Raw genomic sequence first — 23,095 nt, forward strand, 5'->3', positions numbered from 1 at the left:
CCACTTCTGAGTTTTTTCTCTGCCAAGGCTGGTTGAGACAAAGGTCAGATCAGTCACCAGGCAGGAAGGCGCTACCGCAGCTTGTCTGGTTTTGACCCCAACTTGGTGTTTCTCTCGGTATCACATCTGCCAAGTTCCTGAGGTGTGACCTGGATAGGGCTGGGACCAGGGTGAGGCAAGCCACGCGCCAAGGGTGCAGATTTGAAGGAGGCACTCACAGAGTGCGCACACATTGGCATGTTCTATTTTCATCTGTAGCTGTCCACTCAGCACCAGCCCTTGCACCAGTAGCCAGAAAAAGCTCTCCACAGGTTCCTCCCACTCCCCCTGAGTTATAAAAATTGCACCTTGGCCTCAGGATTGTGGGTTCTGCTTCTCCATCCACCTTTCCTGTTGAATAGTGAAGTCTCTTGAGCACCTGTTATCCATCCATTTAGGCTTCCTCCAAGCAGGGATTAAGACCCAGATAGTGCCAAGCACAGTGTTGGGTCCAGTGAGTGCCAAGGTCATCTCTCTGGGCTCTCGAGGAGGCAGCAGATGCATGCTATCTATAACAAGCCACAGCAGTGGGTGGTGCCCTGGGACTTTAAGGGACAGAGGCCCTGGCCCAGGTGGCTGGGAAGTTTCCCAGAGGAAAGGAGAAGAGCTGGGGCTAGCAGATGGTGGGAAGGCATCGCTTATCTCTGGGCAGCTTGAGGAGTCTCCTGGTCTCCGAGGGTGGATGCAGCAGAGCCCAGGGCTTGGGAAAGCCACCAGGGAAGTATTGGTGGCTGAGACTCCTCCGCAGCGACCTCATCTCCCTCCTCTTGCTGGTGGACAGGATTAGTAGCGAAGGCGGGCAGTGGAGAGAAGGGCTCCCGTGACTGCCTCCATTTTATTTATTGGTTTGATTATTTTTGCGTCCTGGGGAGAGAGTGGACCCCGTTTTTTGCATTAGCCCATATTGGGAAGCAATGGGGATGGGCTAGAAAGCTGGTGCCTCAAGAGTGGTTATTGATGTCCTAATTACAAGAGGATGCTAATTTAATTTGAACCTAATTACAGTGCACTACCCTGGGTGGCATGTGTTTTAATAATTAACGTCCTTCAGATGCGTAGGAGTGTAATAATATTTACACTAGGTTGGCCAGCAGCCTGTGGAGGCGGACTGGGGGCCCATACACCACCTTCTCCCTGGACAGCTTGGCTGTGAGCAGGTGGGGAAGAAGGCACATGGGTCCTGGCTGGCGAGTATCTTGTCATCCTTCCCATGTAACATGCTTGGGCCTCATTTCCAGCCACTTCCTTGACCCAGCAGGCAGCTTTGCTCTGTGGGGCACCAGGCTGGAACTCTGGAATACATCAAGACTGGCAGGATCAGGTCTCTGGGCTCCAGCCCCAAACCCACCTCCCCAACCCCAGTCTACCACACAGGGATGTTTCTGGCCTCCTCAGCCTGCCTGGTCCTATTCCGGGAAGGGCTTGTTTAAGGGGGAGTTTAGGAGGGAGGAAGGAGAGCTGCTTGGTTTGTCTTCATTCCTGTAAGGGAGGTAACATTTATAAGGAAATAGACACATTCGAAAAGGTGCACAAATGAAAAGGGTACCGCTCAAATACAAAGTGAACATTACCCACATAAACAGCACACACACCAAAAAGCATCAGCAGCCCCTCATGCACCCCTCCATAGCCGCTCTCACCCCCAAAAGTAACCCCTCTTGACTTCTATCCCAGTAGATGATTTTGGCCTATTTTGTTTGTTATGTTTTTATGTTGATTTGTTTTTCTTGGTTTGCGTGGCTTTACATTTTACATAAGGGGACTCAAACCATATGTATTCTTATGTGCCTGATGTCTTCCACCCAGCACACCTGTGAGATTCATCTGCGTGGTTAGGTTCATTTTAGCTTGTGCATTTTGTGTGGTCCATTGTATGAATACACCACTCCTTGATTATTAGAAGTCAGACATTGAGCTGTCTGCTAGGGCTGTGTCAGGCCCTAAAGGAGAAATCTGCTCATCCTAATGATGCAACTGGGGGCAGAAGGTGACATGAGATGAGAAGGGGAAGCAAGATGACGGGGCAAGGCAGTTCCGTCCCCAACAATCCCAGAACAGTGTGCTTGTCTGTGTGACCCCTGTGCCCAGCCTTTCTGAGCCTCCACAGGTAGGGACAGGGCCTACCAGCAAGTCCAGAAGCCAAGCAGAACCAGGGGCTTCAGAAATGGGCCATGGGCACTTTGGTGTCGCCACCAGCTCTCACTAGGCACTAAGTGTGGCTGGCAGGCCAACTACATCAGAATCACCTGGGGTGCTCGTTAAAATACAGCTTCCAAAAATAGTGCCAGAACTATATTAGGAGTGGTGGGGGGGTAAGTGAGCTGAGTCCTCCTCATCTGTCATAGCAGGAAGACAATGGGTAATGTCTGAAGTTGATAAAACAAGAACTAGCTTATTATTTAGCAATAAGATAGTAACCATCAGATCAAAAACATGATTAAAAGTGGTTGCCTGTAGGTAGCACACTAGGGATGGGAAGCGCTGCTTTTTATTATAATCTCTACTATTGAATTTTCTAACCATTTGTGAGTGTTTTCAGTGGTCTTTTTAAATTCATTGTCATGTAAATATACATGTATCTAAGTGCCACTCCAGACCTACTACCCCAATCCCCGTGGGGTGGGGCCTGGGGATCCACTTTAACAAGTTTCCTAGGCGATTCTGATGAGTTCTCAAGTTCAAGAATTGGCTATCACTGTCCAAACTCATTTTATAGGATGAGAAGGGAGACAAAGTGACTTGCCCAAGGTCACCCAGTTTATTAATGGCAGGGCCAGGAATAGAAAACAGATCTCCCGGCCCCAGGCCTATGATTTTTCTCTCCGTCATGGCTTTCGCCTTGGAGGGTATCCATCCCAGCAGGCCTGGCCCTCGGGGGCCTGCAGGGTGAGCTGGGGTCCCAGTTCAGACAAAGGAGGCTAGGGTGTCGTTGCACAGGGCGGAGGAGTGACTCCTGTCACGGGCCCAGAGCCCTCAAGCAGGCAGATATTTCTAACCACTGCATGTTGACAGTGCCCTGGATTTCTGCAGATCCATTGCAGGAACCAGCACATGCAAAAATGGGGCTGCTCCTGTGGCTCTGCCAGCAGCAACATCTTTGAGGTTTCTTTCCCCAGGATGGGAATGAGTCTGCCCTGAGCCATCCATAGCCCCTGAACATTCAGGCATTTAGCATTTCCTGAGCTGCTCCAGGCACTGTTCTAAGGGCTGGGAGAAAAAGGGAGAGTTATCTTTGGCCTCGTGGGGCTCACAGTATACTGAGAACAGATGTTGGTGATAGAAAGACCTAATTGATGTAATTGATGTATGTACAAATGCTGTGGCCTTAGCTTGTGGAGTTGACAGTGGCCATGCCCCATCACCCAGCAATTTCCTCCTGGTTCTGTGGCCAGGGGCTATTTGCATGTGTTAAGAACAACCCACCGGCTGGCGCGGTGGCTCGCGCCTGTAATCCCAGCACTTTGGGAGGCCGAGGCGGGCGGATCATGAGGTCAGGAGATCAAGATCTTCCTGGCTAACACGGTGAAACCCCGTCTCTACTAAAAATACAAAAAAACTAGCCAGGCCTGGTGGCGGGCACCTGTAGTCCCAGCTACTCGGGAGGCTGAGGCAGGAGAATGGCGTGAACCCGGGAGGCGGAGCTTGCAGTGAGCCTAGATCGCGCCACTGCACTCCAGCCTGGGCAACAGAGTGAGACTCCGTCTCAAAAAAAAAGCAAAAAAACCACCAGGACCCATATGCAAGAATGGGCACTGCAGCTTTGTTCCTACAAACAGAAATGAGACACTACAGGCATGGCAAGGTATTCACACAATGGAATATTACTCAGCAATGAAAATGAACTGTAGCCACACAAAGCAAGGATAAATCTCAGAAATAATGTTGAATGAATAAAGCACATCTCAGAGAACTTCATATCATATAATACCATTATTCTAAAGCTCAAAACCAAAAATACGTTGCTTAGATATACATGTATCTAGGTGATCATTTAATTTATTGTCCAAATAGGGATGTTTTTGCGAGCAAAAAGGAACACAAATTCTGACATTTGGACTGCAAGTGTAAGTTGACACTATCTCCAGTAAACTGGGACATGTGGACACCCCACATATATGTATATAAAACATAAAAGCAAAGGGATGATAAACACAGAAATCTGGATGGTGGTCACCTCCAGGTGGGGCAGCGGACCCCAGGGGTGAGATAAGGAAGGATGCTGGGGAGACATAAGTGACTGGGAATGTTCTGTGTGTTGGTCTGGGAGGTGGGTCTATAGATGGCTATTACATTATTAAATTAATAAAGTGTAGGAACTCAAAGGAGAAAGCTCTTCCAGGGAGGTGAGGAAGGTTTTGAGGACAGGGTGACAACTTCAACAGTTTACCTGATAAACAATGGGTCTGGTTGAGGGAACTCACTGAGCAAAGCCCTCTCATGGCTGGTGGGGCTCTTCTCAGAAGGCTCTCTGCATTCCAAGTCTAGCGTGTGGCCACAAAACTAGGGACTTTGTTCTCACCAGCCCTGGGCACTGACCAGCTGAAGCCCCACCCTTTTGGGAAAAAGCAGCCATCCAGGACAGGGAGAGCTGACCAGGCCTGCACGAGACACTGACTTCAAGGTACCCTGCTCACTTCAGATTAAAGTGTAAGTTACGGGAAGTGCACAGATCTTAAGCATATGTGGATTTTTGCGAATATATATAGTGAAGCTACCATTTGGATCGACTGTAGAACATCAGCATCCCTGAAAGCAACAACTTTTACCCCTATCACCATAGTTTGGGCTGTTCTTGGTGCCAGGGTCTTTTAAAGGACATTTTTTCCCTGAAATAGTCCTGACGACATGATGGGACCTTACAATCTCTAGGTATCTTTGCCAGAGTGCCTGTGCCTGGGGCTTGAATTGACACAAGGTAGGATAGGGGCTTCAGAGCCCCTACCCCCCCAACCTCTTCACAGCTGCCTCAGAACCTTAGGCAAGGCCAGCAGGAGACAAGGGTCCCTCACCCTGCTGCTTGAGGGCCTTGGCTGTGTCTAGCCAGGCAATACAGACCTATTATCCCAGCTCAATCGAGTCATTCTAGGCCCTGGGCCCAGTCACTGCTATGGATCAGGTGATACTGATGCAATTCAGTGAGCAGGCAGCTTCAATCTATAGGAGTCATCTGGGCCTGGGAGATAGGCCAGCTCCCCCTCCACTTGGGCAGATCTCACTCTCCTGCAGCCACGTGAATGCCACAGGTCTAAGACAGATCCTGTGGTGTTAACATTTTGTGTTCTCAATTACGTAGAACAAAATGAGGCCAAAGCTACTTACGGTTATTCTAAATGATACTTCTGTTTGGCTTCACAATGCGTTTACATGCTTGACTCACCTGTGGTCAGCAGTCTCAGCCTCAGAGATGTCACAGTAGAGGAAATGGTATTGATGGAGCCAAGTCCGCCCTCCAGCCCACTGCAGAAACAACCAAGCCTGAGTTGGCCACCTCCCTCCAGCCTGTCCTAACACATGCTCAGGACAGGACCTGACCAGTGGGTAAGGAGTTTGGGTTTCAAAGAAGCAGAACCATAGGCTGAGTTCAGAGACTGAATCAATAGATAGATAGATGTCAGACAGACTAATAATTATCAGGCCAAGTTGGTGCTGGTCAAGAACTTGGCCATGAGATTGATCTCAAGGAGTCAGTGGTGGAGGATATGGTTGGTTCTGAAGGCAGACGGGCTGAGCTTGAGTCCTAGCGTGCCGCACGCTAGCCGAGTGCCCCAAGTGGGCTAATTAACCTTTCTGAGGCGGTTCCCTCATCTGTAGACTGAAGAATAAAAGATAAAAATTCCTACATCGTAAGGTTAATAAAAGAATTCAGAGGCCAGGCGCGGTGGCTCAAGCCTGTAGTCCCAGCACTGGGAGACCAAGGCGGGAGGATCGCTTGAGCCTAGGCATTTAAGACCAGCCTGGGTAACATAGTGAGACCCCAGCTCTACTTTTTTTTTAATTAAAAAAATAAAAAAGGAATTCAGTGAGATTTGTAAAGCACTTTACACAGGGCCCAGCACAGATTCTGTGTTCAGTGTTTGCTGTTATCACCCAGGGAGGAGGGTGCAGGCATGGAATAACCTCTCTGCTCTTGAGAGCATTGTGGGGTTGAGGCCAGAAGGGAGTCAAGGTGTCAGGAGGTGGGGGGTGGGGAGGCTGAGATGACTGGGCTGAGTCTCTGGCTGTCCAGTTGTGGAGTGATGGGAAGCAGGAGTCATGCACACCCAGGGCAGGGGGTTCCATCCCTTCACCTTGCTGGCGTGGAACTAGTCCTGTAGCTAAGGTGTTCAGCGCATGTGCACTGAGTACCTGTCGTGCCAGGCACCATTTGGGTGCTGAAGTTACAGAAGCAAACAGCACAGAGCTCCTGGCTGCATGGACTAGGGAGAGGACATATGCCCATACTCACCTGGCATGGAGGACACCATGCCTAGCCAAAACTTACACATAGACACTTTGCCTCAGACCTGAAATCTGGATTTAGACAGCAGAAGGAAGTTAGTGGTAGGGGTTGGGGTGTGTGTGTGTGTTTGTGTGTGTGTGTGTGTGTGTGTGTGTGTGTAGATGCCTCTTGGAGGAGCCAGTTCTGATTCACAGACCTGAAAACCAGCAGCAGAAAATGACTCCTCCCTGCTGATGTGGGTGTAGTTCTGGAGAAAGTCCTGTGCTGGGGCTGAGTGGACCATGGGCAGGGAGTGGGGTGGAGCAGGGGCAGTGCTAGGGGGCAGGATGCTGCAGTGCACCCCACCCACCATGGGAAGCCCCGAGATGGAGTTTACTGGGGCCTGGATGCAGGGGGAGCAGCCAGTATCACAGCTGCACTCCTGCCTCGACTCCAGCACATAGGCCTCACTGGCTGTGAACAGGGAAACACTAGTCTCAGGTTCCCAGGGAGCAGAGCTATGCAGAGGGAGCCCTCCAGAGTCAGGCGAAGGGCATCATGCCAGGCAGGAAGTATTAGCACTGATGTGGGGGCACCTCCTAGGCCGTCCTCATGTCCACTGTGTGAGTGGCACACAGTGCATGACAGTTGGGGACATTCCCATTTGACAGGGTGACAAACCAGAAGAGGTGGGTGCCTGATTCCAAGTTACACAGGGTGTGAGGAGCTGCACAGAGGCCACCATGATGAGCCACTTACATGACCTTGACCCCTAGTGAGAAGGACCCGTGTGGGCAAAGACAGATCTGAAGCTGCACTTTACTCAACAGCTGGGGAGGGCCGTTTCCAGAGGGGGCTTCACAAGGTGCAGTCGCACAGGCACTCGGGTTTGCAGGGAGGAGGATGTCCTTGGGAACTAGCCTGGCGGCCTTGTCTCATCTGGCCTGATCTGTAGAGGGCAGCTCCCAGGGGGGAGACCCGAGGCAGAGATCACAAATAGTGCCATGTCTGATCAATTGATAGTGGCTCCCTGGGGTGCCCTGTAGTCAAGGATTCTAAGGTCATGCCAGAAAGTCAGCTGTAATCAATTATTAATGTCTACCAAGGGTGTGGGAAAGGGGGATGGTCATGTGTGTCCCATATATTTGCCATCCTGTGTCAGTGCTTTCATGGGAAGAGGGTTCAGGAATCTTACTACATCAAAGTAGGGGGCACTTCCACAGCATCCTTGACGCAAGTATCCACTTCTGCTTGCAGAGAGGGCTGGAAACTCCCTCTCAAGGAAGTGGCGCCCAAATCAGTTCTTACCTCGTTACTGCTATCGTGTTCCAATTGCAAATACTGTTTTGCAGTTCATAAGCAGAGTTAAACACCTACTCTCTGCTGGGCACAAGGGACCCACAGCTGAGCCAGTCAAGTCCCCTGATACTATCTGCAGATACTTGAACCTGGTAAACTTCAGTGAGACCACTTTTCTTGGGGAGAGGGAGAGGCCCCTAAAGGCAGGGACAAGAGAGTTCTCCAGAAGCAGGAAGAGTTAAGGCCCTGAACCTGGAGGTGGCTCCTTGGGCATTTCCTGAAGACCAAGCTTCCATTTTCCTCTGGTGCCTTCCAGGCCAGCAGGCCCTGGAGCAGCGCTTCTCAAACTTTAACTTGCTTGTGAATCATCTGGGGATCTTGTTAGAATGCACATTCTCCTTCAGTAAGTATGGGGCAGGGCCAAGAATCTGCATTTCTAACCGGCTCCCAGGAGGTGCTTTGGGCCAAAGGACCACCCTGAGGAGCTATCCCCTCCCCAGCCCTTTCAGGCCAGAGGCTACCAGCAGGAGGTAGTAGGTAGAGAAGCCCACCTGGTTCCCACAGAGGGCTCCTGGGAGGTCTGACCAAGGCCTGAGTTTGGAGGCAGGGAGCAAACAAGACTCATGCTACCTAAAGCCAGAAATATAAGGGAAAGAGCCAGACCCTGGCACAGCTCTGCAGGAGAAGCTGCCTGAGGAGAGGGGCTGGGGCTGAGGCTGGTGAAGAATCTCTGCTCTAGGAGCTCCAGGGCCAACATAGAGTGCAGGCAGAGCTAAGCTCTGGAGTGTAGGCTCTCTAGACTGTACACCTCCAAAATGATCATGATGTCAGCAGCAGCTCAAGATCTGTGTGCTCCCACAAGGGCTAAGCACTTTATGGGTAGTCTTATCAGGGAAGGACCCTTCCCCCGGTTTTACAGATATCCTCTGGAAGACAGGCCTAGAGTCCATGACTTGCAAGTATTCAATAAATGATTTATGAGTGAATGACTAAAAGTGCAGCTGAGTCCTGGCAGAGGGCATGGGGTCCCACCCAGAGACAGGCAGAGAAAGTTGAAGTCCCAGGATTGGAGGCCGTTCTTCCTCACCTCCCCACCAGGCCCAGGCAGGGCTTGATCTGAACGGAGGCCTGGGAACCTGTGGCCAGCCTTTACTTGTTGGAAAAGAGCAGTCCTTAAGCTCAATTGCTCCAGGTTGATGCTTCCCTACTTTTTTTTATTTATTTATTTTTATTATTATTTTTTTTTTATTGAGACGGAGTCTTACTCTGTTGCCAGGTTGGAGTGCAGTGGCGCGATCTCGGCTCACTGCCACCTCCGCCTGCTGAGTTCAAGCCTCAGCCTCCTGAGTAGCCTCCTGGGTAGCTGGGACTACAGGCGTGCGCCACCACGCCAGGCTAATTTTTTGTATTTTAGTATAGACGGAGTTTCACCACTTTGGCCAGGATGGTCTCGATCTCCTGACCTCGTGATACTCCCGCCTCGGTATCCCAAAGTGCCGGGATTACAGGCATGAGCCACAGCGCCCGGCCCCTAGTTCTTTTTAAAAAACGCTAGATCCGTCCGCTGCGCTGAGTGGAGGCGGGGCAGGCCTCCGTTCTCCAATTGGCCTTATCCACCGAGCTCTCCCCTTGTGCCGGGCTCTGTGCCAAGCACATCACACGCTGTATCCTGCGGCCAGGTTGCTGTGGTCCAGGGTCGTACCCTGGTCCAAGGTCGCAAACCGAGGTGGGACTCCGATCCGGCAACCACGCCCGTGGCCCGGAAACGGCGTCCCCTGAGGCCCAGGAGAGGCCGGGCGGTGAGCGGCTGTGGAGCCGAGCGCGGGCAGTGCGGATGCTGCCTATGGGGGAGGCAGCCAAGGACGGAGGGCGAGAGGCGGTTCTTCCAAGGTCACCCTCTTCCGGGTTGCAAGCAAAGGTCAGGGGATCCCGGAATGGTTAGTGCAGGAGCTTCTCTGTGCCTTCCACGTCCTAGATCCTCAGAGCCTCAGAAACGGAGATCATCGTCCCCACCCCCATTTTACAGATGAAGAAACTGAGCCGAGGAAAGGAAGCGACTTGGCCAAGGTCGGAGAGCTCATTCTTTGCAGGGCGGGGTTTGGAACCCGGGGTCTGGCTCTCGGCAACGCGCCCTCGGCCCGCAGCCTCCTGCCCCCTGTGCCCCGCTTCGGCCCCCAGCGCAGCTGCAGAGGGGCCCCCCTCGACGCATACACTCAAGAGCCCGACCGCGCGGCTGAAATCGCGGAGCTCGGAGCCGCGGCTGGCTGAGCGATCGCGGTTCCTGGGCTGCGTGCGCGCCCCTTGGAGCTGAAAGGAGCGCCAGGATCGGGGGCGCTGCACCGGGCTGGGCCCCTCAACGCTCGCAGACCGGGCCGGGCTGCAGCTGGAGATGGCAGCAATCCCGGGAGGTCTCCGGGCCTCTTCAGGGTGCGTCCAGGAGGCGGGTTCCGTGCGACGCGGCGCAGCCCACCCCCACGAGACCGCTTAACTTCGCGGGGGCAGCCTCGGGCGCTCGGAGACGCGGAGGCCCAGACTGCAGCCTCCGGATGCTGGAAGCCCAGACTCCCTGGGGTCACCGGCTCTCCCGCCACCCCAGCTGCAAAGAGTCCCATTGCTTCACCGTCCGGAGCTTAGTCTCCTTGTTCCTCTACCAGTCCCTCCCTCCGCAGGTCTCTGGGGACTTCTGACCGCCTGTTCTTACTCTCCCCCTGCCCCCATACTTCCCGCCCTTGTCTCAGGAACGGTGATACAGTCATCGGATTGCTCTCCATCTCCTGTTAGTCTACACTGCACACAACTCAATAATCCGCTCCCTTCATCCGGGTGACAGAGACACAGATAATCTGAGCTAGTGGTGCTCAAAGTACCGGTCCCAGAACAGCAGCATCAGCATCTCTTGGGAACTTGTTAAAAATGAGAATTTGGGCCGGGCGCGGTGGCTCACGCCTGTAATCCCAGCACTTTGGGAGGCCGAGGCGGGCGGATCACGAGGTCAGGAGATCGAGACCATCCCGGCTAAAACGGTGAAACCCCGTCTCTACTAAAAATACAAAAAATTAGCCGGGCGTAGTGGCGGGCGCCTGTAGTCCCAGCTACTTGGGAGGCTGAGGCAGGAGAATGGCGTGAACCCGGGAGGCGGAGCTTGCAGTGAGCCGAGATCCCGCCACTGCACTCCAGCCTGGGCGACAGAGCGAGACTCCGTCTCAAAAAAAAAAATGCGAATTTGGGGGCCCCACCCCAGATCTACTGAACAGAAACTCTGTGGAGCCCAGCAGATGATTCCCATGCACACTAAAGTTTGCGAGCCACTGATCTAAACATTCTTTCATCCATTCATTCTTCACCTGGCCCACCCAGCATTGCCAGTGGGAGAGACACCCGCAAAGCACCAGGCTGTGAGCCCCACCGCCGTGCACTCTGAGACACTGTCCACTAGCTTTGGGATGGCAGGCAGAGGTACTCCAGCTTGGTCTAGTGCAGACCTGGGAATCAGGACCTGGAAAGGAGGCCCCAGGTGCCAGCCGGCAGGTTAGCTAATGGCGGCCAAGGGTTACCCCGGAGTGGGGAGTGGGGAGAAGCTGCCTGGTTTGGCCCGTGCTGCTGCACTCAAAGCACCTACCTTTCAAAGTGCAAGAACAGGAAAGTGACCCTCCTCTGCCCCCAGTAAGTGATGACGGAGTCTCTGGAAGGCCAGACAGATGGGATCTTGCTCTTTGCAGCAGTGAGCTATCCTGACTGGGTGGGTAACCAAGGAGAAGGGCTTTCTGCAGGAGAGGAAATTCATTCCTCTCTTCCAAAGTAAGGGCTTCTATGGCTGTCTGCCTGGAAGGAAACCAAGGCAAAGAGATTAAATGTGGAAAAGGTCAACGTTCTGAAAGGGAAGCTTTATGGGGTCCTTCCCATACAACGAAGGAACTAGGGGCAGCCACATAAGCCAGATGGATCAGGCCAGTGGGGCTTAAGTAGAGCCCAGAGCCCAGCTTTCCTTGGCTGCATTCCTACAGGCAGGGGCCAGACACTTAGAGATACACTGCACCTTCCCTCAGGTCGGAAGGGAGGGGACGGAGCCCCTCCTGGAAGGCTTCAGGTGAATATAAAACTAGAGCCCTCACCACCCCAATCTGTGACATCACATGGAATCTGATGTTGTTTGATGGCATTTCGGGTGTCCCACAACCATGCCTGCCATGAAGTCATGGCTGATATTTATGCCCTGGCCCCACTCTGATCTCAGGGAGAATATCTTACCATAAATTGGCATGCCATGGCAAACAATTAAAAGAGAAAAACCTCAGTGCAATCTCAGGGTGCTCGGAAATGAGGAATTACAAGGTGGTGGCATGAAAAAATTATATAAAAATCTATTTTTACATCACAATAATGTGCTTTTATACGGGTTGTAATTTCTGGATGTGCAATAAAGTGGCTTTTACATCAGGCAGAATCAGAGTTTATAGGCAATCGGTGCTTTTATCTGGGAAAATATAGCTCACCCATCTTCACACCATCCATCCTGCAGGCAGCAGGCCTTATCTTCCCCAGCACCAGTGTCTTTGGGGAAATAATTATGCAATTAAAGTGTCAGCCCACCAACCACCCACCAACCACGCCCCCACCCCCACCCTGGGATCTTCCAACCACATCTTCCAGCTTCTGTCATTGGCTTCTTCCCCAAGGTAGAACAAGCCATGGGTCCAGGACAGGGTGGCTGAGGTACCAGACAGATGCTGGTCACTGTCTCCATTGGGCCAGGGAAGATCCTGGTGGGCTCAGAGAAAATATCTTAGGGCCAGCAAGCACTCCATAAACACCAAGGATCTGCTATGGGCCAGGCACTGTGCTGGGAGCCTGGGACCCTGTCACAATTTTGTAACAGTCATGATGCAGGCAGGGAAGGGAAAAGCTCTGGCAAAGGTCAATCCAGGGAGCTGAAGGGCCACAGAGGAGGAGTTTGGGGTGGGGGGGAGTGTGGCACTGTACTCTGGAGGCAGGCAGGTGACACAGGGGAAGGTTTGAAGACAAGTGTGTCCTAGAGGGGAGGTGCCAGCCCAGGTCATGTTTCTGATTGGAGCACTGAGACAGGCATATTACAGGACGTGGTAGCTGTCCTCAGACACTGAATGTTAGTGCCAAAACTGTCCTTAAATATTATGTAGTCTGGCCCATCATTTTATGTATTCCTTTAACATATCAGATACTATATCATCAGTCAGGGGTCCAGCAGGAAACACAACACATTCCATTCAATAAAGGAATATGCACAAAAGCATATGGGCAGAGTTTAGGGAAATCAACAAGAGATGGTACAGTACCCGGGGCCAGCAAGAGAGAGCAGTGGTTACCACCCAGAGGCCTGAAGTAGCAGAGACTGGACACAGTTAATGGCACCCTTTGAGAGGAGCTGCATGAGGGCCATCAGGCAGCTGACCTGGCTTGCTGTCACCTGAAAAGTTGAGCAAAGAAGGCCTAAGTGAATGAGACACGTTTTGAGGGGAGAAAGGAGCCAGGGGAGTAAAGCCCTGCTCTCCTCTCCTGCTCCCTTACCCCTGCCAGCGCCTCTCCATACTGCTCCCTCGCCCCTGCCAGCGCCTCTCCATACTGCTCCCTCGTCCCCTGCCAGCGCCTCTCCATACTGCTCCCTCGTCCCCTGCCAGCGCCTCTCCATACTGCTCCCTCGTCCCCTGCCAGCGCCTCTCCATACTGCTCCCTCACCCCTGCCAGTGCCTCTCCATACTGCTCCCTCACCCCTGCCAGTGCCTCTCCATACTGCTCCCTCATCCCCTGCCAGCGCTCCCTCATCCCCTGCCAGCGCCTCTCCATAATGCTCCCTCACCCCTGCCAATGCCTCTCCATACTGCTCCCTCACCCCTGCCAGCACCTCTCCATACTGCTCCCTCACCCCTGCCAGCACCTCTCCATACTGCTCCCTCGTCCCCTGCCAGCGCCTCTCCATACTGCTCCCTCGTCCCCTGCCAGCGCCTCTCCATACTGCTCCCTCGTCCCCTGCCAGCGCCTCTCCATACTGCTCCCTCGTCCCCTGCCAGCGCCTCTCCATACTGCTCCCTCGTCCCCTGCCAGCGCCTCTCCATACTGCTCCCTCGTCCCCTGCCAGCGCCTCTCCATACTGCTCCCTCGTCCCCTGCCAGCGCCTCTCCATACTGCTCCCTCGTCCCCTGCCAGCGCCTCTCCATACTGCTCCCTCGTCCCCTGCCAGCGCCTCTCCATACTGCTCCCTCGTCCCCTGCCAGTGCCTCTCCATAGCCATCACCAACCAGAAGCCAGAGATGGAGGGAGTCTGCTGGTGCCACCCAGTCAGATCTGCCTGCAGGGCAGAGAGCAGGGTGGAGGGCCAATCTGGATGTGCAAACGGGAGCCTGCCAGCATAGGCACAGATTGGGAATGATCAAACAATCTGGTCATTTGGCAAAAATAGAACAGTACACCAATGGCTGTAATTTTTATGTCTCTATAGTGCAACTTTGTAGGTTTTCTCATCGCACATTTTTGGCTCACCACAACCTATACTCAGTGTCAGCTTTGACAATCTTACATGACACTGTGCTCTGTTTCACAGCTAGGGAGCCTGCATGATACAGTGGAAAAGAATTCCATGAGGCCATGTAGATGGGTTGGAGGCAGGTGAGATGGCAGTCCTGACGCAAGTGCGGAACATGCCCACCCTGAGGTTCTGCATGTCTCTTTTTGACATGTACCCCCCGCAAATTCCTCACATGCTCTCATAAAAGGACGGGGTAGGACATCTATAGCAATATTCCTTGAGGTGGTGGGAGATGGAGGGCCCACTCCAGGGAGACTGGTTGGGTAAGATGCAACAGAAGCAAACCATGGGACTCAGTAGCAGGAAGGAAACTGTGGTTCACATAGAGCATGCAAGAGTTCAAAGCAGAGCTGAGTAGAAAGAGGAAGACAGAAGTGAGATTTGTAATTCTGAACCACTCAAATAGGTTAAAAATAGCACTCACAGGCAACAAACGCATACGCATGCACACACACACACACCATTTTGCACTCTTACAAACCAAAACACTTTAGAATGGTTGGCTTTTGAAAGGAGAGGGAGAGGAGAGGAATGGCATTGAAAAAGGATAAACAGCCCCCTAAATAAAAAGAAGAGAGCCTAGACTCAAGAGACAGAACACACCTGGGCTTCCATCAAAGAAGCTGTACTGTGTGTGACCTTGGGTAGGCGTGTTACTGAGTTGTTTCATCTTGCAAACAGGAGGAAACGGTAATAAATAGATCCCGAGGCATGTCAATGTGACCTAGCTAGACCTGTCTGAGACGCTGATCCACCAAGACCTGTTCCCAGGTGGGTTGACAAAGGCCTGTGTCCCAACAAGTGTAGGGCAAAGGGCAGCCTGGGCCACTTGGAGGTGACCCAGCAGCAGCTGTGTATATGTGGTCAACATACGCGACACATCCAGAGCTCTGACAAAGCCCCTCAATCCAAAAATATGTCTCGCTGCCAGCATCAGGGGTTCCTTTCTTTGAGCTAAAGCCTCTTCTGTATCGGGGGAACCCGCCCCCAGTATTTCAACGTAGGCTCTTTCTATTTTCCATAAGTGTCAGCCAGCTGAGAAATAAGGAGAGAGTACAAAGAGAGGAATTTTGCAGCTGGGCCGCCGGGGGCGACATCACATATCGGTAGGACCGTGATGCCCACCTGAACCTCAAACCAGCAAGTTTTTTATTAAGGGTTTCAAAAGGGGAGGGTGTCTAAGAACAGGGAGTAGATCACATGCTTCAAAGGGCAAAAAGGAGAACCACTGATAAGGGTCTGTCTTCAGCAGTGCACATATTGTCTTGATAAACATCTTAAACAACAGAAAACAGGGTTCGAGAGCAGAGAGCTGGTCTGACCACAGATTTACCAGGGCCCGGTTTTTCCCCACCCTAGTAAGCCTGAGGGTACTGCAGGAGACCAGGGCATATCTCAGTCCTTATCTCAACCACATAGGATAGACGTCCCCAGAGCGGCTGTTTATAGACTCCCCCCAGGAATGCATTCCTTCCCCAGGGTATTAATATTAATATTCCTTGCTAGGAAAAGAATTTAGTGATATCTTCCCTACTTGCATGTCCATTTATAGGCTCTCTGCAAGAAGAAAAATATGGCTCTTTTTGCCCTACCCCTCAGGCAGTCAGACCTTATGGATGTCTTCCCTTGTTCCCTAAAATCGCTGTTATTCTGTTCATTTTCAAGGTGCACTGATTTCATATTGTTCAAACACACATGTTTTACAATCAATTTGTACAATTAACACAATTATCACAGTGGTCCTGAGGTGACGTACATACTCAGCCTATGAAAGTAACAGGATTAAGAGATTAAAGTAAAGACAGGCATAAGAAATTATAAAAGCATTATTTGGGAACTGATAAATGTCCATGAAATCTTCACAATTTATGTTCCTCTGCCACGGCTCCAGCCAGTCATTCCATTCGGGGTCCCTGAGTTCCTGCAACACTTCTGCACAGAAATGCAAAATACACACACACACACCCCACCCCGCCCCTAGGACTCATTTTGTTAGCGATCATTAACAGTTTCAGCCATTAGCTCTCAAGTTGGTTTGAATTTGTTGGTAGGATTAGCTCCCTATCACCTGAAAAGCTGAGAAAAGAAGGCCTAAGGGAATGAGACACATGTCTGAGAAGAGACAGAAAGAGAGAATGTGTGTGTGTGTGTGTGTGTGTGTGTGTGGCAACTACTGAAGGTGGGTAGGATGCTAGGGGCCTGGGTTCCCCAGGGAAGGCCCTGGGTTTGAAAAGAGCCCCAAATGAAGCCAGGATTGCTGAAGACAAGCATGTGAGTTTGCCAAGAGCTGCCCAGGGGTCTGAGGTGTCAGTCCACCCCTCTGCTCCCCACTCAGGTAGGGGCAGGTCCGGAGCTGCAGCATGACAGGGAATTTCAGGCCCGGAGGTCTTCCCACTTGTCACCTCTGTTTCTTCTTCTCTGCCCAGGTGGTGCACATTCTGAAAGGCTCAGATTTCTTTCATTCAACCTCCTTTCTTCCTATTTTTTCTTATTGTCTGGCTCTTTCCTGCAGAAGGAAGGAGAAGAACTGGGTGTAAACCTTGACTCTGAGCTGAGGGCTCAGATGCTGGCTGAACTTCTCATTTGCACCAGGTGTAGGAGGGAAGTGGGCAGCCCAGCACAGAAGCAGCTCTCTGGCAAACAGCTTCCTCTGTAGGCCTCATGCCCTCCAACTGCAGTGCCCTCTGACCTTGTCACACTGCAGGTAGGGGACAGAACTAAGGAGCATCTGCACAAGCACCTGGCTGTAGTGAACTGAATAGTGTTCCCCCAAAAGATATGTCCAAGTCCAGACCCCTAGTACCTGTGCATGTGACCTTACTTGGAAATAGGGTCTTTGCAAATATAATTAAGATAGTACTTGTCTTAGTCCATTCAAGCTGCTAAAAGAAAAAAATATCACAAACTGGGTGGCTTATAAACAACAGAATGTATTGCTCATAGTTCTGGAGGCTGGGAAGTCCAAGATCAAGGTGCTGGCAGGTTCAGTGTCTGGTGTGGATTTGGATTTGCTCTCTACTTCACAGATGGCACTGTTGTGCTGTGTCTTTACATGGTAGAATGGGATAGTTAGCTCCCTGGGGGTTCCTTTTTTTTTTTCTGAGTCAGTGTCTCATTGTGTTGCCCAGGCTGGAGTGGCCCAGTCTTGGCTCACTGCAACCTCTGCCTCCCAGGTTCAAGCAATTCTGCCTCCGAAGTCTCCCAAGTAGCTGCCTCTAGTCTCCCGAGTAGCTGAGGCTACAGGCATGCACCACCATGCCTGGATAATTTTTGTATTTTTTTAGTGAAGACAGAGTTTTGCCATGTTGGCCAGGCTGGTCTTGAACTCTTGACCTCAGGTGATCTGCCTGCCTTGGCCTCCCAAAGTGCTGGAATTACAGGCATAAGTCTATGCACCTGGCGTCTGGGGTCCCTTTTATAAGAGCATTAATGCCATGAGGACAGAGCCCTCACGAACTCATCATCTCCCAAAGGCCCCACCTTCTAACACTGTCACACGAAGGATCCAGTTTCAATGTATGAATTGTATAGAAAACATTCAGACCACAGTCATAAGAATTTCAAGATGAGATCCAGGGTGGGCCCTAAATTCAGCGACTGCTGTCCTTACAGGGGAAAGGAAAGGGCGACGTGAGACACAGGGGAGAAGACTGTCTGAGGAAGGCAGGCAGAGCCGCAGAGATTTAGAGTTATGCAACCCCAGCCAAGAAACACCACAAGCCACCAAAAATTAGAAGAGGTAAGCAATTCTTCCCTAGAGCTTTCCCATAAAGAGAACATGGCCCTGCTGATTTTGCAGAAAAGAGAAACTGAGGCACCAAACTACATCAGCACTCCCTGGGCATGGAAGGCTGGGCGCACAGCAGCACCAGCCAGGGCAGAGACGGTGCTGGAAGTCGATGCCCTGCCTCCCAGCTGAAGCCTTCCTACCGCCTCCCTCGGGTGCTTCCTTTCACTCAGCCCCTTCAGAGCCAGAAGGCGTGGCCCACAGCAGTGTAGGAGTGCCCACGGCCCCGGGACCCCTGGCTGTAACCACACCCTCAGCTGCACCCTCAGGAGACCTTGCCTCCTGCTCCCTCTCCAGCGGCAGCGAGGGCAGTGCCAAGCTCACACCCTCCCAGAAGTGATTTCATGCCCCATAAGACGGGCAATCAAAAATAATAGACACACAGCAACCTGCCTGGGGCCTGCTGCTGCGGCGGGCGGCTGCTGAGGTGGCTACCTGGAAGATAAACCAATTCCCAGCCCCGGTGGGGAGAAATAACAGCATCAGTGAGGAGCAGGAGCTTCATCTTAGTCTGCAAAGCCCCAGCCAATAAGCAGGCTAAAAATAAGCACCTCTCCCAGCTGCAGCAGCACCCTCCCTTTCCTGACATGAGCTGGTCACGTGAGTTTCTCAGACTCTGGTGGGTTTCTCATGTCTAGGCAGGTGTCTGTCTGCTCAGTGGCCTTGCCTCAGATCTGGCTGGGGTGGCCTCAATGTGGGGAGCACAGGCTGCGGAGTGAGCCTAGGGAAAGGGTATGAGGACCTTCTGACTCCTCTGGGCTCCCTGTGGGTCCTTGGCTCGGTCATGCAGCCCCAGACTGCTTCCTGTCTGTGCTGAGCATCTGACTGTCACTGCTGAAGGACATTCTGAGTGCCATGCCAGAGCTGGGCACCCAGGGCCATCTGTCTGCACTTGGCGGGGAGGCACGTGCAGACCCCTCGCTGTGGCTGGTTCTCTGCGGGCACAGTCTGTGATCCACAGAGAGTAGACCCTGGGTGGGCCTGTGTGTCCAGCATGTATTATGTGTGCCTCCAAAAAAATGAGTTGGGAGAGGTGGGGATGGTTAATGGGTACAAAAGAAAATAGAAAGAATGAATAAGACCTACTGTTTGATAGCACAATAAGGTGATTATAGTCAGTAATAACTGAATTGCACATTTTAAAATAAAGAGTGTCATTGGATTGTTTGTAACTCAAAGGATAAATACTTGAGGAGACGGATACCCCATTCTCCATGATGTGCTTACTTCACATTGCATGTCTGTATCAAAACGTCCCATTTACCTCATAAATATATACACCTACTACGTACCCACAAAAATTTAAATTTTTTTTTAAAAGAATGAATCTGGTTTAAAGCAAAACAAAACAAAGAACCAACATTTTAGTAAGGAATTGGGTAAGTGAGGATTCTGCAGAACACCCACCTGGGGTAGGGGTTAGGATGTGGATTTATCTCAATTCTGCTGCCCTTGATGAGAAAACATTTTAATAATGCCTCTTTCGAAAGATAGTCAAAATATGAGCCTCACAGAAATATTCCTTAATTGCTTCTTGTCACACACTGCATGAACTCTCAGGGGGACCTTTTGGCCCCCTCACCTTGGGATCATGCACACCCAGGCTCCCACTTGAGCCATGTCCTTGGTCCAGCTGGCTTCAGGTTTGCAACGTCTCTTACCTGGAGAACCGCCAAAGTCTCCTCACCATCTTCCTGCCTTCAGTCGCTGTCTTCCTCCCCTTTGGGAGTTAGTCAGTCCACTCTCCAGCTTAAAAAAGTTCAAAGACTTCTCCCACTGCTGGGCCTGACCCTTTCTAATCTGTGGCCAACCTCCTGCTTCACCCATGCCTGCTCACGCACCTTGTTCTTCAGCAAAGGAGACTGCATGGAGCCCACTCAATGCTCCTCATTTCTTCTTGCACCCTATGCCTTTGCTAAACATGGTCCCCACTTTCTAGAACACCCTGTCCACCTTCGTTGTCTCTTGAAATTCTACTGTATTTTCAAAGCCCAGCCTGTGTGTTACTCTCTATCCCCAATTCTTCTCAGAGAAGAATTGGCCACTCCCTCTCCTTGGGTCTCCCTAGCACTTTCCACGGTTTTGTCACAGTGCCTGCATTTCTCGTTATTGTTAGTTTCATGTATATCTCCATGGCTGGATGGCTCAATCCTGAAGGTCCGACAGAAAACAGTGCCTGGCACATAATAGGTGGCTAATAAATGAAGCCAAACTGCAGTTGACCTGCAGACCCGTGATACAAATGCTTTTTATTGCAAGCCACTGAGATTTTTGAGAGTGCTTTATTACACAGCCTTATCAAGCCAAGAGCTGACTGAGACAAATTGCCCAGGGAGCCTGGGGCAATATGGGACTGCACACTTAGCACTGGCAGAACGCTATTCCAAAGGCATGGTGGGGCTGAGTGCCGGTGTTAGGTGTGAGGTAAGGTTGCTCTTGACATGGTGGTAGAGGGCTGATGTCATGTCAGACCACCCAGGTTCAAGTCCTGGTGCTGCCACTTGCTGCTGTGTGTGTGTCTCTGATAGAGTTACCCTCTCAGCAACTCATTTTTCCTTGTCTATAAAATATGAATCATAATACAAGGATCTGTCTCACGGGGTTGTCGTGAAAAACAGGGGAAACCATGCCGAGCCCAGTGCCTGGCACACAGTGGGGGCTCCATGAGTGTCTGCTCTCAGTGGTCATGCATCGTTAGGAGTGACTGTCATTGGCTCCTCCCTCCCTGTGTCCAGCCTGCCTGCTCCCTGCCCAGTTCTGTGCAGGGTGTGCGTGTCTGTCGAGAGAAGCTCAAAGTGGGGGATGATGTTTCTCTGTTCATTTTCCATGTTTCCTCCTGAACTCCAGTGTTTCACAAGGGGCTGGTAGCGGCCTGTCCTGTCTTCCCCTAGAACTGCTCAGCATGGCTCCAGCTGTTCTCCGTAGAGCGAGGATAGGAAGTCACATCTCAGAAAGCAAGGGATGGGGACAGCAGTGACAGTGGTGACTTCATTCTCCCGGCTCTTACGGGTCTTGTGGACCCACTTCCAGGACCACCAGTTTCTAGAGATGGACAAGAGTCTTGAAGTGTCCACAGTCACCTCCGTGTCGGTGACATCGGCAGATAGTCATTCTAACCACATTCCCAGGAAACGGGGACTGTGGGGATTCAGGGATGGGGTGGCATAGACTCCGCCTTCTGGAAGCTTCTGGTCTGGCTAGGGTAGCCCGAGGGACATAGGAAATAGCTGAGTGAGTCATAGCATCGTGTACTGACAGGACTCTTGAAACTTCCCAGCCAAATGTCCCTTGAAAAAGGGACACCAGAATCTCCCAGGAAACACCTGCGAGGCCTGGCACGATGGCAAGGGCTTGAATAAATGAAAAGGGTGGCTGAGCTGCCTGGGCTTTCCTGGGCTTGCTGCTGTCCTTCTCCTGATGATCCACCCTGTGGAAAGCTGCAACTGTCCCATTGCCACCAAGGGACCACAGCGGCTGTTCTTTCACTGGCTCTTCCTGGGAGGGAGCAGCCCTCCCCAGCAGCCTCCTTCCAGGCTGGGTGGCAAATGGCTCCCAAACAGAAAGACCCCTCCTGAGCTGCCATTTCCCAGGGATCTCAGCGCCCCAAAGCCAGACATGGGGAGGAGGGAGGAATCAGCTCCTGTAGATCTCTGATGCTGGCATGAGTGGGCAAGCCCCCAGCTCCCTGGACTCCTGCCCCTCTCTGCAAATGCAGGAGGAGATAGGATGATGGCAGAACATCTGGGCTGGAAGACTGTCAGGCGAGGAGAGTGGGGCATCTGAACAGACAGGTTGAGTAGCTTGCCCAAGGCCACACAGCTGGTGAGTGTTGAGGCCTGTTGCTAGGTGCTCAGTAGATTCCCCCGGAGTGACTGGAGGTGGGAGCATTAGAGGCAAGACTAAGAGAGCCTTGGGAAGGAGACAAAGAGAGACACCTCCAGGCAATCTAAATGGACTAACACCAACAGAGGCACCTGGAGCTGAGAGCAGATGCCAGGCCAGGGGAGATGGGCTAGACACGGAGGCGGAGGAAATGCTCTTCTGAAAATGATGTTGAAGGGCAGAGAAGAGAAGGACCCTAGAGAGACAGATGGAGAGGAATCAACAGATGGGCCCGCTGTCCCGCAGGGCGACGGCCCTCTCGCCACGCGGCCCCTAAGCTTGAAGGGAAGCATGTGGGGAATTCGCAGTGTGGGGGATGGGGCAGTGAGGGCCGCATCCTGACCAGAATTGCCCAGGCTTCTGGTGAGAGGAACCAAGTGCAGCAGGGGCTGCTGGCCAGGCCTGGGAGCCGAGGTTTTGGCTGCCACTTGCCTACCACGGACACCCCCCACCAAAATGCCTCTCTTTGTCAGGACCAATAGACACAACCTCAGGGGCCATTTTTGAAGGGTTTCAAACCACCTGGGCAAGTTCCTTCTGTGGGTGGGCAGCCCAGACAGCAAGGCTGGGCACAGCTGTCCCACCCAGCATGGCCATGCAGCCTTGCGAAGGCAAGGGCACAGGCTCCTGTCACGCCTGACAGCTGTGGCTGGTGTGGGGTGGGGAAGGCCAGGCAGGACAGGAGGGCAGCAGCAGGCCAAGCCAGACCCCTGAGGCCTGTGCTTGCAGCCTGTGTCCCGACCTCACAGTGTCCTGGGACCATCCAAGCCCACTCACTCCTGTCTGGCAGCCAGCCTTGGATGTCACAGAGCACCACGCCCCATGTCCTCGGCCAGCACCACCGTCCGGCCTCGCCAGCCACAAAGGGCCGCCCAGGTTTGATGGGAGGGGACATTGACTCAAGGTCACACTGTAAAAAGAGCAGATGAAATGGGAGATAGCATTGTAGCCATCCCCAGAGTGTGTAATCTGCCACACCAGGCTATGCCCACAAGACAGGCAGCCCTTCCTTCCATGTTCCAATTATCATGAGTCCCCACAATGCCTTCCTCCAGTGTCTTAGTCTATTTCCCGCTACTACAACAGAATACCACAGACGCAGTAACATACA

The 23,095-nt window shown here is 52.2% G+C and overlaps 4 annotated features.

Annotated features, from left to right (window-relative positions):
• Window positions 8,976-9,813: an enhancer, noted in NCBI's record as "H3K27ac-H3K4me1 hESC enhancer chr7:127743251-127744088 (GRCh37/hg19 assembly coordinates)". NCBI's record gives its function as "activates a minimal SCP1, AML or CMV promoter by ChIP-STARR-seq in naive H9 embryonic stem cells {active_cell/tissue: H9 hESC(naive)}" and the evidence as "EXISTENCE:reporter gene assay evidence [ECO:0000049][PMID:30033119]".
• Window positions 14,170-14,249: an enhancer, noted in NCBI's record as "active region_26594". NCBI's record gives its function as "activates an Ori minimal core promoter by ATAC-STARR-seq in GM12878 lymphoblastoid cells {active_cell/tissue: GM12878}" and the evidence as "EXISTENCE:reporter gene assay evidence [ECO:0000049][PMID:35858748]".
• Window positions 21,638-22,154: an enhancer, noted in NCBI's record as "H3K27ac-H3K4me1 hESC enhancer chr7:127755913-127756429 (GRCh37/hg19 assembly coordinates)". NCBI's record gives its function as "activates a minimal SCP1, AML or CMV promoter by ChIP-STARR-seq in primed H9 embryonic stem cells {active_cell/tissue: H9 hESC(primed)}" and the evidence as "EXISTENCE:reporter gene assay evidence [ECO:0000049][PMID:30033119]".
• Window positions 22,155-22,671: an enhancer, noted in NCBI's record as "H3K27ac-H3K4me1 hESC enhancer chr7:127756430-127756946 (GRCh37/hg19 assembly coordinates)". NCBI's record gives its function as "activates a minimal SCP1, AML or CMV promoter by ChIP-STARR-seq in primed H9 embryonic stem cells {active_cell/tissue: H9 hESC(primed)}" and the evidence as "EXISTENCE:reporter gene assay evidence [ECO:0000049][PMID:30033119]".

The sequence above is a fragment of the Homo sapiens genome, chromosome 7, assembly GCF_000001405.40.
Source record: "Homo sapiens chromosome 7, GRCh38.p14 Primary Assembly".
Lineage (NCBI taxonomy): Eukaryota > Metazoa > Chordata > Mammalia > Primates > Hominidae > Homo > Homo sapiens.